Source organism: Homo sapiens, chromosome 3 (genome assembly GCF_000001405.40).
Source record: "Homo sapiens chromosome 3, GRCh38.p14 Primary Assembly".
Lineage (NCBI taxonomy): Eukaryota > Metazoa > Chordata > Mammalia > Primates > Hominidae > Homo > Homo sapiens.
The window spans coordinates 129,574,818-129,591,199 of NC_000003.12; the positions used below are offsets into that span (position 1 = coordinate 129,574,818).

General features: G+C 58.7%; 1 protein-coding gene across 6 annotated transcripts in view, besides 1 other annotated feature; it reads right to left on the reverse strand.

Moving 5' to 3' along the window:
- The window catches only part of PLXND1 (plexin D1), a 51,463-nt gene that overhangs the window by 19,604 nt on the left and 15,477 nt on the right, over positions 1-16,382 (reverse strand). For 5 of the 6 annotated variants that reach the window (NM_015103.3, XM_011512588.3, XM_047447765.1 and 2 more), the window contains exons 2-11: positions 14,534-14,710; positions 11,771-11,902; positions 11,355-11,455; positions 11,135-11,264; positions 9,568-9,745; positions 9,308-9,416; positions 8,750-8,852; positions 3,512-3,616; positions 949-1,038; positions 652-745 (exon numbers count right to left, since the gene is read on the reverse strand). In NM_015103.3, coding sequence (NP_055918.3) covers positions 652-745; positions 949-1,038; positions 3,512-3,616; positions 8,750-8,852; positions 9,308-9,416; positions 9,568-9,745; positions 11,135-11,264; positions 11,355-11,455; positions 11,771-11,902; positions 14,534-14,710 — 1,219 coding nt within the window. The remainder of the gene's footprint in view (positions 1-651; positions 746-948; positions 1,039-3,511; positions 3,617-8,749; positions 8,853-9,307; positions 9,417-9,567; positions 9,746-11,134; positions 11,265-11,354; positions 11,456-11,770; positions 11,903-14,533; positions 14,711-16,382) is intronic. The other variant, XM_011512589.2, reaches the window with a different exon arrangement.
- Positions 1,870-2,596: an enhancer, noted in NCBI's record as "H3K4me1 hESC enhancer chr3:129295530-129296256 (GRCh37/hg19 assembly coordinates)". NCBI's record gives its function as "activates a minimal SCP1, AML or CMV promoter by ChIP-STARR-seq in naive H9 embryonic stem cells {active_cell/tissue: H9 hESC(naive)}" and the evidence as "EXISTENCE:reporter gene assay evidence [ECO:0000049][PMID:30033119]".

Sequence of the window (16,382 nt, forward strand, 5' to 3'; positions counted from 1 at the left end):
AGGCCTGTGGGTGGTAAAGCCAGATCCCACCCAGACCTCAGTGGGTCTGATCAACCCCGGCGGGGCCCTAGGATGCTGGGGATCCCTGAGTAATGTGGACTATGAGTACTTTGGGGCTTCAAACCCTCCAAGTAGCCCAAAGAGGAGGGCAGGGAGGGTTCTCCAGGACCTTGGGTATGCAGGGCCGTTCTGGGACCTTCATGGTGGGAATCTGGAGGGCACCACGTCCACCAGGGATGCCTGAGACTCCCCATGAACAGAGGAGCCCCTGGAGAGTGGACCCAACACAGACAGTCACAGCAACTGCACAGCTGCCACGCGAGGGGAGCTGACCACACCCCAGATGCCACGCTCAAGGTTGGGCGAGCCCTGGCTCATCAGGTCCTTACAAGCTCTGCAGAGGGACTGTGTCCTGTTTCCTATGGGGACGATCAGGCCCAGGAAGGCAGGGGAAACTATGCACGGAGACCCCAAGGCCTGGAGCCTGGCATGGCATGGCAGGGCTGGGATATGAGGCTGTGTGTGTGCTGGAGAACAATGGGGTGGGACATCTGCGGCTTTGGGGCAACCACTGGAATGAGTCGCACAAGGCTGAGCCCCACCCACTGCACTGAGGCCCCGAGGCCATGTGGGGCGGGTGGGGGTGCCCACCTGTCATGGGCTCAGGGCTGTCCAGGAATCGGGCTGGCCGCCCCTTTAGTTGGAGGCTGAGCGGGAACACCTGGCTCTTCCGGGTCGTGTGCAGCTGCAAAAGGGCAGAAAAGAGCATAGGGGGCATGGGCAATGCCTGGGGCTCTGCTGGGGATGGGTGTCATGGAGGCAGATGAAGTTGGGGCTGCTGGGGATGGGGGAACCAGAAGGTAGAGAGAGGCAGGGTGGGGTGAGGGGTACAGCATCTGGACTTAACGCAGGCCCGCCCTCCGCCCATGCTGGAGTCACCCCACTCACCACCACCTGGTCACAGCGTACAACAGACTCATTCACCCACACAGCCTCGAAGATCTCCTCCAGCCCAAAACTACACTCCAGGGCTGCACCCTGTGGGAAACAGGGAGTGGGAGGCGGGTTTGAGGAGAACCAAGCCAGCATGCATTGCCCTCTAACTCCAGCAGGACACCACGGGCTCCTGCTGGGAAAGGTGGGCTTGGTCGAACTGTCAGGCCTTTGCATGGGCTGTCCCGTCCCCCAAAATCCCCTTCCTGGCCATCACGTCCAATGTTTGAGGGAGGCAAGCAGTGCAGGAATGCCAAGAACTTTGGCCTCATGCGCTCAGCACCACTAAAAGCCTCTCCAGCATCCCCAGTGATCTAACCCAGGGGCCTTGTATTCAGCTCCTAAGGCTCCACTCCCAGCGGGGTTCCCCTGCTCTTCGAGCCTTCCCACCTCCCATCCTGCCCTACCAGGCCCTGCTCAGACGTGCCCCAACGCCCAACACGGCCAGACTCTCCTGCCCCGGCCTTTGCCTGAGCCCTCCCCTCGCCTGAACACCTGTCTTCCTTTCTACCACCCAGCAAAGCTCAACACAGCCTTCAGGATCCAGCTTAAAAGCCCCCTGTTCTGAAGCCTTCCCAGATGCTGCCCTCAAATCAAAGGGGTGTGCCTCACTTGATCCTCATTCATTCCCTCAGCAGCAACTATTCAGGTGTCTGCTGGGGCACTACGAAGCTCCTAGAGCTGCCCCCATCCCTGTGTGCCAGGCATCACCCTTAGCCTCTTGCCTGGCTGCTTACCTGTCCCCTCGCCAACCGGGGACGGTCAGGGCTCGGCCGCTCTGACACCACCCCCAAGGGCAGCAGAAAGCAGCTGGAAGAGCCCTGGCCTGGGTTCAAACCCCACCTCTGCATGTCCCAGCTATGTGACCTCATGCAAGTTGACCCCTTCTCTGAGGCTTGGTTTTCCTACCTGGACAATGGGAATAGGGTTGCTGGGAAAACTGGAGATTGTGTACCTCAAGGGGCCGCACACGGTAGGGGCCTAATATGTGCTTGCTATCATTAGTATGCAGGAGGTATCCAATAATGTTTGTGTCATGAGGCTCAGTTCCCCAGGCTCATCTGGCCTTCTCAGGAGCAGCACCAATACATATTTGCTGAGTAAACAGACTCAGGTTTTGTGTATTACGCCAAGCACCCAGCCAGCTGCGTGGCAGAGCTTCCTGTTTATGTCCCTGTGGCTGGCAGATGTGACACCCTGAGGAGAATGCAGGTCAACCTCCCTGCTTCTGGGGTCCCAGCCCGGAAGCTAACACAGGAAAGTGGCTGCTGACGGGGCCAAAAGCCCGTTTTGTCCCCTGCCATGCTGAGCTGGAGATGGGTCCCTCCTCTTAGTCCTCAGCCACCTCAGAACAGCACACCCGGCCCGTCCCAGAGCTCCCCAGGGTGTAGGCTCAGCAAACAGGCCCCCACCGCTGGGCCTGACTTCAGTGTTCTAGGAGCAGGCCCTGGGGAGCAGGAGGGCAGGCGCCCCTGCAGCTCGGTCAGAGTGGAGGCTGCCCCACCACACAGCTGGGAAGAATCGGCAGGACTCAAGTCAGGCTCACACCTCCCCATCCCAGGCGCCCACGGCCCAGGGGCAGAGCCATCCTGCCCACCCACCCAGCCCCCTGGCTGATCCTGGAGGCGCTTGCCCCAACTCCTGCAGGGTGGGGCTTGAGGGCTGAGGGCAGGCCCCACCCTAGCCCTCCCAGAGCTCCAGCCCCTGCCACGAGGCTTCCCGACACATCCCAGATGCCCGGCACGTGGCCACCACGTGTGACAGCTCTCACGGGCCTCAGCTCCTCCATGGAAGTAACAGATGGCGAGTTCCAGGGAGGTGGGGAGGGGGGTGGCTGGCACGCCTCCAGGACTCGTCAACGCTTCCCACCCAGGACGCGCCTCCAGGAGGGGTCCAGAAAGGAGCTGCGTCCCCAACCCCCAGCCCAGATGGTGGGGGCGGGGCTAGTTGCAAAGACGAGCACTGGTTGGGGAGTCCAGAGCTAAGCACAAGTCCAGCCCTGTGTTGTGTGATCTGGCGTCATCTACTTTTCCTTCCTGGGCCTCATCTTCCCCATCTGGACAATGGGGAATGGGGTGGCCAAGGGGTTCTCTGGTCATTCTGCAGGGAAGACATGGAAGCCACCCACGGGGCAGTGGGCTCGGCGGTGGGTGGGTGTGTCCAGGGTCACAGCTCAGGCTAAGGGAGGACAGGATAGGGCAGCGTCCACCCTCCGGCTGTGGCACGGGGCAGGAGAGCCTGGGGGCACTGGCTTTCCCTTGGCAGCTGTTGGCCCCCAGCTGTCCCCCTTGGCCTGGCCCTCACCACTTCCTCTTCTTGCAGCCCCGTGCAGTCAGAGTGGGGCTTCCTCATGCAGAAGGTGGAAACTCAGAGAAAGAAAAGCAAAGCCCACACAGGTGCGAAAGCACTGCAGTGGGCCCAGAGCAGGGGTCACACCAGGACATGGGGGCAGTTAGTGGCCTGCGTGCTCCCCGGCCTCCTCCTGGCCCCACCCGGCGCTGGCCTGGCTTCTACTTACCTGGAAAAAGGCAGTGTTGGCCAGAGGCACCAGGATGTTCTGGGAGCCACCCGTAGGCACGGGTGCCAGGGGTGAGAGCAGGGTCCGGGGGCAGTCCTGAGGGCTCTGCAGAGGAAACAGAAGGAGAGGGTGACACAGGGGCATTTCAGAGAAGAGGCAGGAGGACTCACTGCACCCCAGCCTGCCTGGTTCAGTCCTGCCTTCCTGAGGAGAAAACACTAGTCATTCAGTCCTAACGGCCACCAGCCCCACCCCGTGCCTCCCACTCGCCACCACCCTCCATCCTATGGGCAGGTCGCATTGGCCCTGTTTAAAGATGAGGAAGGTGGGCACAGGCAGATGGCATAACCCGCCCAGTGGTGGGGCCAATTTCCTCCATGAGTGCTCCCTGGCCTCAGACGAGGCTGGGAGGCTGAACTCCAGGCCCAGCTCCTCCCTGTCTCTGGGCCTCACCTTTCCCAATAGTAGAACAGGGGGGCTGCACCCACTCCCTGAGATGCCCCCAGGGCTGAAACTCCAGCTTCCTGACTGACCCGTGTTAAGCGATTCAGAAAAGAGAAACCTTGGGCTTCCAAACAGCCCATAGGAAAGGCACAGGGAGGGCTCTGAATACCAGGAGGACATTTCAGAGGGCCAGATACCACCGGTCTCCAGGGGACACCCCTCCCCACAGCCCGGGTATAAGTCACAGCCTCTAGGTGAAGGTGCCAGCCCCAGATACTCCCAGGAAGGGCCCCGGGCTCATGGGGGGACAGCACATGGTTGGCTCTTGTTTGGTGGTGGAGTCACTGAGGCCTGGCAGAGCAGCTGCTTCATGGAACGAAAGAAGGAGGGAGGAGGGAGGGAAGGAAAGAAGGAAGGAGGGATGAAGGATGGAAGGGAGGGAGGGGAGATTGAGCCTCCAAGAGCAGTGAGCTGCCTGAGGGCGGAGGACAGGGCTGGCCCCTGAAGCCCCAGGTGTCTTGACTCTGGGGTCCTCCGAGCTGGGGCGCGTGTTAAGATGCAGAGGTCTAGCCCCGCTGCAGGGATTCAAGGCCTGGTTGGGAACTGCTGTCTCCAGGCTCCTGGGATCCATGCTCCACTGTACAGAATAAGAAACTGAGGCCTGGGGGAGGGGCAGAGACCAGAGGCAGGGCTGTTCCCGCCATGTCCACCTTAGTGATCGCTCTGAGCTGGGAGGTATGGACCCCCCAACCTGCCCTGTGTTCTCCAGCTTTGGTGGCCCCAGTGAGCCATTCCTGCCTCCTCCTGCTCCCGAATCTGACCTGCTGGGACCATGAGCAGGGCAGGACTGGGGACCTTGGAGCAGCCACACCCATGCCAAGGGGACTACAACCACCCTTCAGCTCAGGGACTTCCTACTCTGCCCTCCTTCCCAAGGCTGGTTGCAGAAGGATCTGGGTTAGAATCAGGCCAGAAAGCAAAAGCGTCCATGGGCCACGTGTGTCCACGTGAGGTCACCCAGCCAGGCCAAAGGCCTTGGGACAAAATATGAGACGCTTCTTTATTCTACACCAGATGAGAGCAGGACAGGGACTGATTCCCCTCAGGGACCCCAGCCCAAAACCGGACCTCGAGGGGATGCCAATGCCAACAACAAGAACTGATGACGATAATGCTAATAACAGTGGCAGTCACCAGCTCATCTAGCCCTCCCTCTGCTGGGACCGTTCTGAGCACTTTGCACTCTTTTAATTTACCAAATTCTACTCCCAACAACCCTAGGAGGTAGATACTATCATTACACCCACTTTACAGAATAGGAAACTGAGGCACACAGAAGCAAAGCAGTTTGCCTACAGTGGAATGAGCAACACAGGAAGGCTCCAGTTGTCCAGACCATTTGCTGACCACGAGACCAGAGTGGTGAGTTCCCCTAGGGACAGGGTCTGGTGCAGACCTCAGGGGCTTGGCAAGAGAAGCAGCATAGCCAGGCCCGGGTGCTGCTGGCTCCCTGTGCCAGAATACACGAGCCACTGACCCTCTCCGGGCCTCCGTGTTCCTACCAAGGAGGGGCCCAGACGGAGTCAGCGGCGGGCCCCCTGCAGACCGCAGGCTGCCATCCTGTGCTGTGTGTAAACCCCACGGAATCCGAGGGCATGGAATCCATGTTTCCACTCAGGCCTCGAAGCCACTGCCAGGTCTGCTTTGCGGCTGGCTGGGGCCCAGCCTCTGTCCTCCTGGCCCCAGCCCACCCGGTGGGTAGGTGTTGATGTGGGGCTGAGGTGTGAGAGTCAGGGCAGGAGGCGCTCTCACAAGAGGGCCCCCACAGTGAATGATGTGTGACCATCCCCGAGGGCCACCCCACTCCCCTTAGCCACTTGTAACCTGTGGCCAGGTGGATGCTCACCCCCATTCTAGAGAACCGAGGCTGGAGGAGTCCTCGTGGCTCTCACAGGGCCTCTCCTAAACTCCAGGGGAAGAACTGGTGTCCCAAACCATCAAGGCACTCAACAACCCAGGGACCCTGAATCCACCTGGTCCCTCCCTACGTCTCTGTACCCCCAGGGACCCCCACAATTGCCCCCATGTTCCTACCACCCCACTCTCTCCACTGGCCCGTAGTGACCACCTACACCTATGAGTGGTCCTTGGGAAGCCACCCCCAGGGAAGCTACCTCATCCCTCAGGCACCTGCAAACGGGGCACACATCCACCTTCCTCCCAGCCTCCCCTAAAGCTGAAGCCCTCCTTCCAGCATCCTCCACTTTGCACATCTTTCACGCGGGGACCATGAGGGACAATGGGAACGTGACAGGAGACTCAGGCCCTAGCACCTCCCTTCCCAGGGACACTTCTCCCGGCTCCCGAGGGGCCACGTGGTGTGCAGATCCCGCTGCCTGCTGCCTGCTGTTCACACAGAGACCACGGCACCACTACGACTAACTGGCACTTCATTAAATGCCAAATTAAACATCAGTTCAGAGCCTCCTGCACGCCCGGGGCAGAGCTGCCTCTTCGGCTAGTTACTGTAATTCTCAGACAGGCTTCCTCTGTGCCTCCACCCCAGCTCCTGGCCTGAAGAACTGCAGACCTGGGGGACAGCCATCTGACAGGACGCTGCCATGGAACTCCCTCCCAGCTGGTGAGCTCCTATGCATCTCTCAAGACCCAGCACGAAGGTCCCCTCTCAAGAGAAATCCTCTCTCTGAAATCCTCTCTCTGAAATCCTCACTCTGGCCCACCCACAGAGAGTGGCCATCAGTTCCCAAGGTGCATGGTGGCTTTGTAGTGAGCATCTACTATGTGCCAAGTATAGAGTTGGTATCTTACGGGCATAATTCCAGATCCCCACCAAACCCTTCAGGCAGGTCCCATTTTATAGATGGGGAAACAGAGGCACAGAGAGATTCAGTAGCTTCCCTAAGATCATACAGCCACAGCTCACACCTGAGGCTCTTGGCTCGTGATGGCAGGACTAGTCCAACTCGGTTCTTTCCCAGGGCCCAGTACTGACTAAGGCATACAGCAGGCACTCAATAAATGCTGAACGGACTGTGACGAGGCTGGGTCCTCCTCGCATCCCCTAGGTTAGCGCACAAGAAGCAGGCTGCTGCCCAGTGTGATGCTTCCCACCACCATAACCGAGCCCCTGCTGTGTACACAACCCTGGGCTGGGAGCTGGAAGGAAGAGACGTGATTGAGATGGGGTCCCCAGACAGGAGCAGGAGTCCTAGTGGGGTCCCAACTGTGGAATCTGGGGGTCCAGGAGCAGCTCAGGGCTCCCGTATGGTTTCACTGCACCGACTCCACTGGGCTCTCCTCCAGTGCTGGAAGCCCCCTGCTGCCAAGCCCCTCTTCGAATAGAATTAAGCATGGCCCCTGCCAGGCTCTTCTTCAAAGCAGTTATGGGGCTCAGGTGGGAGGTGCTGCGCACTGCGAGCGAGCAGGGGATTCCAGGCTGAGGCCATGGGGCCCCCTCCTTAGCAACTGCCGGGGTAGACAGGGCTTCAGGGATTCCTGAGAAGATTCTCTGAGCTCAGTGCAAAAAGGCTGGGGCTGCAGAGGCTCTGGGCGCTGGGGCTGCTTCCCCGGGATGTGTGCCCAGAAAGGGGCCCCAGTGACCTTCTGCAGGGAGCCAGGGCACCAGGTGCCATGCTGGTTATCTCAGTTGTGCCATCTGGAATATGGGCAGGACCAGCCTTTGCCTGGAGAGATGAGCTGCAGGAAGGCTGGTGCCCTACCCCAGCCACCCACAGCCCTGATACGCGCCAGGTCTGAGAGGGGACGAGCTGTGATCTCAGGACCCTGGCACATCCCACCTGGCTAGGCCTTATCACCCCAGCCAAGGTCCCAGGCATCCCATTTGGCCATCCTGGCACGGGCTGCGGTGGCCTTAGAGGCTTCCTGGGCAAAGGTGAGAGGCCACCTGGAAAGTGAACAAGTCTCAGAAACCAACCAGGGGCGAGGTATGTGGCATGTCCATTTTTACTTTATCTTTACACTAAAAAGCCTAGATTGATCCATTTTTACATTTCCTCCTCTTGCTCCCACCCCATTTAGTTGATTAAACCCAACCACCATGCAGTGCTGGGGCAGGCCTGGCCCCTGACAAGCATGGAGTCAGACTGCAGGGTCCTAGGGACTGACATGAGGACCTGGGAGCGTGTGGTTTCTGAGGCCAGCCCATCCTCCCTGTCCAGGGACAGCTGCAGCACCACCCACCCTTGGGACGCCACTGCTCGTGCAGAAACCCAGGCAGGGCCCTTTCCACCCAGTTCCTGATTTTCACAGGAGGGGAGAATATGGGCTCCAGGGGCAGAGGGACTTGGGTTAAGGCCCAAGTCTGGTACTGCCTGAGTCGATGACCTTAAGCGAATCACCTCCACAGGCCTTGAGGACAAATGCCCTGAACACCTAGGGTTGTTGAAATGGTCTTCCTACTGCAGTGGGGGTATAAACTGGCTCAGGCTTTCTGGAAGGCAGCTGAGCTCAAGGTGTAGAACTATGGCCACACTACCAGCCCAACAGGTCATTTCTAAGAAGCGGTCTTCAGGGAATCATCAAGGATATGCATAGTGCCCTGGCTATATCAAAATGCAAAAAAGAGGAAATAATTAGTATGTCCAACTATAGGGCATGGGTTAAACGCACCGTGGTATGTGATGAGCCCCATATAGCTGTCAAAGCCAAAGCTAAGGCGGAATATGCAAAGGCATTGAAACATTCTCAACATGTGAATTTTTTAAAAAAGGTAATGAAACAGCAGAGGCGGAGGGGCCCCCTAGCCTGGCTTACCGTGGGGTTTGGTGAGGCCTCGCACCGAGACTGGTTGGAAACACAGGAGTGCTGCTGGCTGCACCAGAAACAGGGCCACTGTGCCGACAGGCAGCTGGTACAGCTGGAAGACAAGGAGGCCCCTCAACTCCTGGTTCCCCACCCCTCAACTCATCCCTGTCCCAGGAACTAGAACCCAAAAGGCAGATCCCAGCACAGGGAAAGGTCTTTCTCATCATCGGGGCTGCCTGGGAAAGATTGGGTCTTTAAGGTAGTGAGCTGCCTGCTAACAAGAGGTATACAAATAGGAGTTAAAAGAGACAGGGCCTTTAGAAGACTAAACTGAGTATAATCAAAGCACTTTGCCCCGTCCCACCTGGCTGTCCACAGAGGCCAGGCATCAGGCAGTATGCATTTATTGTAGAATGAATAAATGTGCTGGTGAATGAACAACTGAAGGGCCTGTCTACCTCTACGATGCTATGATTTTTCTTCTCAGGGCCCCCTGAAAGCAAAGACCCTTCCCGGGGATGCGTTCCTCCCTCCACCAACTGGAGGCAAGCCACCCAAGCCACTCACGCTGTGTGGGGGTACACTTGTGCAGTGCGGCTGCAGTCGTAGATGGTGAAATTGGCCTTGACGATGTTCCGCCCATTGACCCTCACAGACATCTCAACAGTCACGTGGTCTGGAATGGATGGGGGAGCCAGGGGAGGACATGGGGGCAGGGGATTGCCACCAACATCAGAAGCTGTGACCTCTGGCCCCCTGCCATCCCCATGCCTGACAGTCCACCGTTCTGCCCCTCTGGGGCTGTGCCAACAGCACAGCGTGCTTACCCTGGTTGGGGGGGAAGGGCGGAAACTGGTCCCTCGGCAGGAGGTTGCAGTAGGCAATCTGGTGACCAAAGGCAGGGCCTGGGACCCGAGCCACAGTGCGGATGTTGTTCCCATAGTCACAGGCCATCTCCATGCCACTGAGGCTGGGCAGGCTGCCCGAGATCTGCAGGATCATGCCCTGGGGGCAAGGAGCCCTCAGCTCTGGGGGTCCAGGCTATGCTCCTCACAGCCTGCCCCAGGGCTGTGCACCAACCCAAGGTCTGGCACTGCCTGAATGTCCCCTGGGGGAAGGGGTAGTGGTGGCCAGGACTCAGGGCCAGAGGGCTATGCCCTACATGTGACCCTCTGAGCCTCAGTTTCCCCAGCTGCAAAATGAAACATCATCTTACAGTGGTCAAGAAGGCTCTGCATGATCTGGCCCCTGTGACCTCTGACCCCATCCCCTAATACTCTCCGAAACAGCTGATCTTGTTTCTACCTCAGGGCCTTTGCACTGGCAGTTCCCTCCACCCAGACGCTCTTTCCAGATGCTCACCCTGGCTCCCCTCCTGCATATCTTACCTGACCTGGCCTGAGATGTCTGCACCCACAACCCGCTCCCCACCCCTGTTCTGCTTTCATTTTCTCCACAGTACTTAGCATCACCTTCAGGTTTTATCTTGCCTATTCTCCTCCCCCATGAGCCTGGGGCCAGGGGTCTGTCTTGATTACTGATGTGTCCCCAGAGTCCAGAACTGTGCTTGGCACATAGTACGTGTTCCATAATATTTGTCCAATAAATGAAATGACTGAATGAATGAGGGAAGGACTCTGTGATGTGTGATAACGGCAGGGCAGGGCAGAGGAGCCCCAGATGCTGAGCAGCTACAGGCCAGAGCCGGGCTGTCAGAGCCCCCCAGGGTGAGAGAAGAGGACCCTCATCCTCAGAGAAGTCACTGAGAGCCAGATGCATGAACCCCAGGCCTGTCTGACCCTCGGCTCCCACCCCTTGCCGGGGCCCAGAATCCCCCACCGCCAAGGCTGCCTGCCAGAGCCCTCCTGGCACAAGCCGGGGGAGACCCAGCCCCCTGCATTGCAGGTTTATCTGTTTCTGAGAAGGAGAAATTTCAGTCTGGCACCTGGTGGTCCCTCCCTCCATCCCCTGTTCTGGGAAAAGGTGGGTGGAACTCACTGTCCTCCAAGCCTCCAACTTGTACCCTCCCTCCTGGGTCTCTAGAACCCGCCTCTTGAGTTTAGATTCCAGCTCTACCACTCCCTAGCTGTGCGACCTGCAGCAAGTCGTTTCACCACTTGGTGCCTCAGTTTCCCCATCTGTAAAATGAGGATGTCAAAAGCATCTGCTTCATAGGGTGTGTAAGGCCTAACGGAGGTGGACGTCAAGCACAGAGCACGTGCCTGGCACTTACTAGTTGGTCAGGAAAGCCCAGTCATTGTCACTGTTCTCATTATTTGTCTTCAGGTCCTTGGGGCACCATGGGTGGGAGTCTCCACCTCTCGGGGCCTGGGTGCTGGGTGAAGGGAGGCTCCCCTGTGTCCCGAGCTGGGTCTTGCCTCCCCCAGGACTCACTGGGTACTCCTGGCGCACATCGATCTCGGAAGGCAGGACGGTCATGGCAGGACAGCGGCTGGGGCCCTCGCTGGCACTGGTCCAGAAATGCTGCTGGCTGGAATTGGTGCAGTCCTGCTGCAAGGTGCACCTGGGGTGGCACCGCAGGGTCAGGACCCAGGTCAGCTCCTCCCACCCCCACAGCCCTCCTGGTCCAGCTGTTGCTGGTGTCCAGCCTCACCGCGTCTCCAGGGCACACCAGCCGCAGTAGGCGTCCGCCGCACCCACGCAGTCCCCACAGGTGGAGTGCACGTTGCAGGCGGCGACCTTCACCCTGGCCATCTGGGGGCAGAGGTGGGGGCCCAGCTCAATGGGACTGCCAGCCTCTCCCTTGGGGAGGTGGTACGGTCAGCATGGTGCGGGCCATGAGAGGCTGGGGAAACTGAGGGTCAACACTCTAATGGGGGAACATGGGAGACAAGGCTTCCCTGCAGAGGCAAGGTCGGTGTTGGGAGGCGCAGGACAAGGTGGAGTTAGCAGATAAGGGAGATGGAGGAGGAGGGTGCTCCCAGCAGAGGAACAGCGTGTGTAAAGGCCAGGCAAGCAAGAGGGCTCGGCTGGTGCTGGGATGGCGTTGGGCTGGGGCTCTGGCCTCACCTGGTGGGACGTCATCAGGTAAAGGTAACCGGAGTCTGCTGGGTCAAACTGCATGACATGGTGCACGGGCTCCCCATAGGCCACAGTCACCACCCGCCTGCTCACCACCTGCATGCTCTCGTTCAGGTTGATCTGTGGGGGTAGTGGGCATCAGGGTGCTGGAGCCCATAGCAGGGGAGGCCAAACCCAGGGGACAACCTGAGCCCGGGTCTGGGGGCTCTGCCTCCCCATCCTGTCTTGGACCCTTCAGGAGGGGTGGGAAGTCACGGGCGTGCAGGGGAGGGCACAGGGCCGGGCCTTGATGCTTCTGCCTCTGCTGTGCCCCCACCAGGAGCTCCTTCTGGGCTCGTCTCCAAGGCATCCCGCCCTGTGAACGTGTGCAGGCTTTGTAGTTTACGAAACGTGCTCTGGGAGGCTGTTAGGCACCATGGCTAAGGGCAGGGGCTTGGGTTTGGATTCTGGCTTTGACACTGAGGAGCTCTACAATGTGTAAGTTGTACAAGCTGCCTCCCCTCTCTGAGCCTGTTTCCTGAGCTAATGGGGCAGGCGGGCCATGAGCATTAAATAAGACACAGGCCAGGCTGATGGGGTCAGGCCCGGGGAAGCTGCTAGGCTGCACGTCTCATTCCTCCCCCCGACGCCCATTTCACCGAAGAGGAATCTGAGGCTGGGAGCGGCCGAGGGAGTTGGCAAGAGGCACAAAGTGAAGAGATCACAAGGCTACAATGCAATACCAGGCCTGCCTGACCCCACAGTCCAAGGCTTAAGGCTAGGGGTGTGGAACCAAGGTGCAGGGAGGAGGAAGACCAGGATTATCTGGGGCCTGGAAGCTTCTCTGGCTCTGAGGGACCCTCTGCGTGTCCTCCTGAGGATGACAATACCGGTCAGAGCCCCACCAAACTCTGCTCTTTTTTGCCTGGCCCTGCCTGTTCCCAGTGTGTTGTCTTGTCTGGGCCCTGCCAGGCCCCAGGCTGGGCATTTTGAGATGGGGCCAGTGGTCCGGACACCTCCCAGGCCAGTTTCTGCCCCAGCCTTCCTCCTGGGGCTCCCAAACCCTTCATGGCTCCCTTCTGCTTATGGAATGAACCTGTTCTGGCACTCAAGGTCCTGGTGATCTAACCCGGACAACCCCAGCTTTATCTCCACCCCCTCAACCCTGCTCACACATTCCAGCCTCCAGGCATTTGCCTATGCTGTGCTCTCCTCTGGAATATTCCTTCCTGTTCCCCTTCTACCAATGCACACATGAGGCCCAGAAGCCTCTACACACCAACTCAAAATTACCTTCTCCCCAGGCTTCCATGGGCTTTGTCCCAGCCTGAGACACTCCTGTCCCACGTGGCCTCTTGGCGGAGCCTTGCAGGGGCTCAGGCCACTGCCCGCACCCACCCCTATGTCCAGGCGTCCAGTGGACACTCAAGTCATTTCCACTCCTTCAATCATTTATTGAGCAACTACTGTGCCCCAGGGCCTGTGCTGGGTGTGGCGATTTAAGGCCCGAGCAGGGCAGGGTTGGCTGGAGACAGAGGCCACACTGTGCAGGGTGGTAGGTGAGGGGCTCCAGGCTGTGGCGGGGTGTGGGCTATGGGCCAGCTCCTGCTGTGCGACTCTGGGGCAATCATTTCCCCTCTCAGAGCCTCAACGTTCTCATCTGTGGCATGAGAATCGTGCCTCTGCCTCCCTTGCAGGGGTGTGAGAATTAAGTGAGAGGATGCCCTTTAGGCTCTGGGTAGACAGTAGGCGCCTAACAACTGCAGCCTCATGGGTGTCGGGGGTGGGGGAGGGGCCTGGCTCATGTTCCCAAGCCAGGACACTGAGGCTCGCAGGGGAGAAGAAACTGGCCCCAAGTCACCAAGCTGGAAGCAGCAGAGCCAGACTCCGAATGTGAGTATCTGACCCCAAACCACGAGCCCCATTGACGAGCCCCACATTTTTCCTCTCCCCAGCCACAGCGGTGGGGTCCTGGGACTCCACTCCCCACGCCCACCCAGCCCACAGCGTCTGCCCAGGCAGTGGGTTGGGGGGGACTTGGGTGATCAGATCTGAGCAGTTAGGCCGGGCCTGGTGCATGAATAGAGTGGTGGCGCTTAGCTTAGTCTCCCAAGAGGGAGCAGGAGAGATGGCTGGGTTGGGGGCAGGTCCAGGGCTGCACCTGGGGGTCTGGCCCAGGCTCCGCCATGTCTGTCCTGCCCCAGAGCAGGGAAACTGGATTCTGCGCATCTCCTCCCAGCTCCAGGAATCTCGGGGCCACGGGCTGGGGTACAGTTAACTCTAGACACCAGTCACCCTGGGACGGGGTGGCTGGCAGGGCTGGGGAGGAGAAATGAATGAGCATTCCTGCTCACCAGGCCATGGCCTTACCCTGCCAAAGCCCCACAACAGCTTACAGCCCTTGACAGGGAAACTGAGGCCTGGAGAGAGAATATGTGTTGCCCAAGGTCAAAGGGCCAGCAAATGGCAGAGCCCAGACATTTGAACTCAGAGCCATACAGTTTCAAAGCCCCAGTCCTAGAGCCTCTGAGAGAATCACCCTCTCTGAGCCCTGGTTTCCCTCCTCTGTATGGACGCCACCTATATTATGAGCAATAGTGGCAAAAACAGACTTGCAAAATACTTTGTAAACTGTAAAGTGCTAGGCGAATGGGAGAAAACAAAGGGTCAGGCTGGACCTGTAGCAGCCCTGTGTACAGACTGACCCCCTCAGCCAACTCCCAGGGGAGCCTCCCACCCCCACCCCCTCCCCACATCCCCAACCATACCTACCTTGAGAAGCCTCCCGTTGACCGTGCCCAGGAAGACCGCTGTGTAGTTGTTGACGCTGGCCACGGCCACGGAGGTGAGGCCCGGGGCGCGGAACACGGGCGTGGCCTTCAGGGGCTGCAGGATGGACAGCGGGTGCTGCAGGTGAGCAGCTCCACAGTCCAGCTGCTCTGGCTGGAGCTGGAAGAGGAACGGCACGTCAGATCCCAGCTCCAGAACCTTCTCCGGCTCCCCGCCCGCACAGCTGGCTGGGATCTCAGGCCCTGGCATCAGAGCTTTCAAGTCTTGTTCCTACTTTATATCCTCAGTGCTCAGCTGAGGCCCAAACACAAACGGGACCCCATCCCCAAGCCCAGGCCTGCCCTGACCTCAGTGTTGGTTACAGAGCTGTTCCAAGGAGATGATGTTCAAGGTACACGGGAACCAGCAGGCGAGGGAACAAGGTCAGGTTTGATTTTAAAGAGTCCAGGGAGGCCGGCCAGGGTGAGAGCTACACCCGCACCCCCTTGGGGCTGCCCCTCCTGGCTGGGCACAGCTGGGAAGAGCAGAGGAGTCCACACCAGATGACCGGAGGCCACCGTCAGCCTCAGCTTAACCCGCTGGCACCCAAGAGGTGTCCCTCTTGCCTCGGCTGTTTTCCTACAGCCCCGGCTGGCTCTGCGTCTCCACAGCAACCATGGGCTTTCCTCCTGCCGGGTGTCTGCTCTGACCCTAGGACCACCACCCCAAAGCCCCAGCAGCTTGCAAGACTCCAGGTGGAGGCCTCCCTAAACCGCAGCCTTTCTTTCCCTCCCCAAGCACCTATCCCCTCATCTGCCCACATTACAGGGGGACAAACAGGCTGGGTGTGTCTGAATGCACAGTCCCATGTCCACAACAGCCCAGCATCACCCATGCCCTCCAGCAGCAAATCAGCTGCGGCTCACAGGGCAGCTGTGAGAGGTGATCCCATGTCCGGGCTGTTCCCTGAACTTGCTCCTACCTTCCCTCCCTTCTCCTGGGTCTTGGTATGTTCAAAGGTTCCTGGTGCAATTTGCACAAAAATAGAAAACAGGCCTCCAGGAAGTGACCCTGAGACAATAACTGTGCAACTCCGCAAAGACGCAGGCACAAGGGTGGTGCAGAGGAGTGAAAAGGGGACACACACATGTGTCGGATGGGACTGAGTGCGTCCATCATGGCTTATCATCCAGGAGAGCAGCCCCCATCCCGCAGTGACGCCATAAGCCCACACTGATTACAAGAAAAGTCACAGGATGTCATGGGCCCATTTTGGTAAAACTGGTGCATAAACAATAAATAGTCACAACAGTAAACATAATAACAGGCCACATTTACTGGGAACTGACACTGTACCAGGCCAGTGCACTGACTCCCAGAATCCTGGCAGCCCTAGGGGTCCTATCTCACAGATGGGGAAACTGAGGCTCAGAGGGGAAAATGGCTAACTACAATGTCACGCCCCCAGGGCTGACCCAGGTAGCAGACTTGAGCCCATGCCTCAGCTGCATTTGGACATCAGAGGCTCAGAGCAGGACTCAGGGAGGTCACCGGAAGGCAGCATTGGAACCATCTTTAGGGCAAAGCTTTAAAGATTTTTCTTTTTAAATTTCTTGTCTGTGCTTTTTGCAAGCTTAAGCCACTGATGATGTGCCTGCCTGGTTTTTGCACAGGCTCAGCTAGTTTTCAAAAGAAAGCAATAAATAGTGGGTCCTTCTGTGCTTGGGCAAATAAACACAGTTACGGCCGGATGGGCTTCTAGGCTGGGGCTGTTTCCAGCATGTCCCTGGGGGCCAAGCCCTGAGCCCAGAGGTGTGATGGGCTGGGGATGCCCTGGACCAACATACAGGAG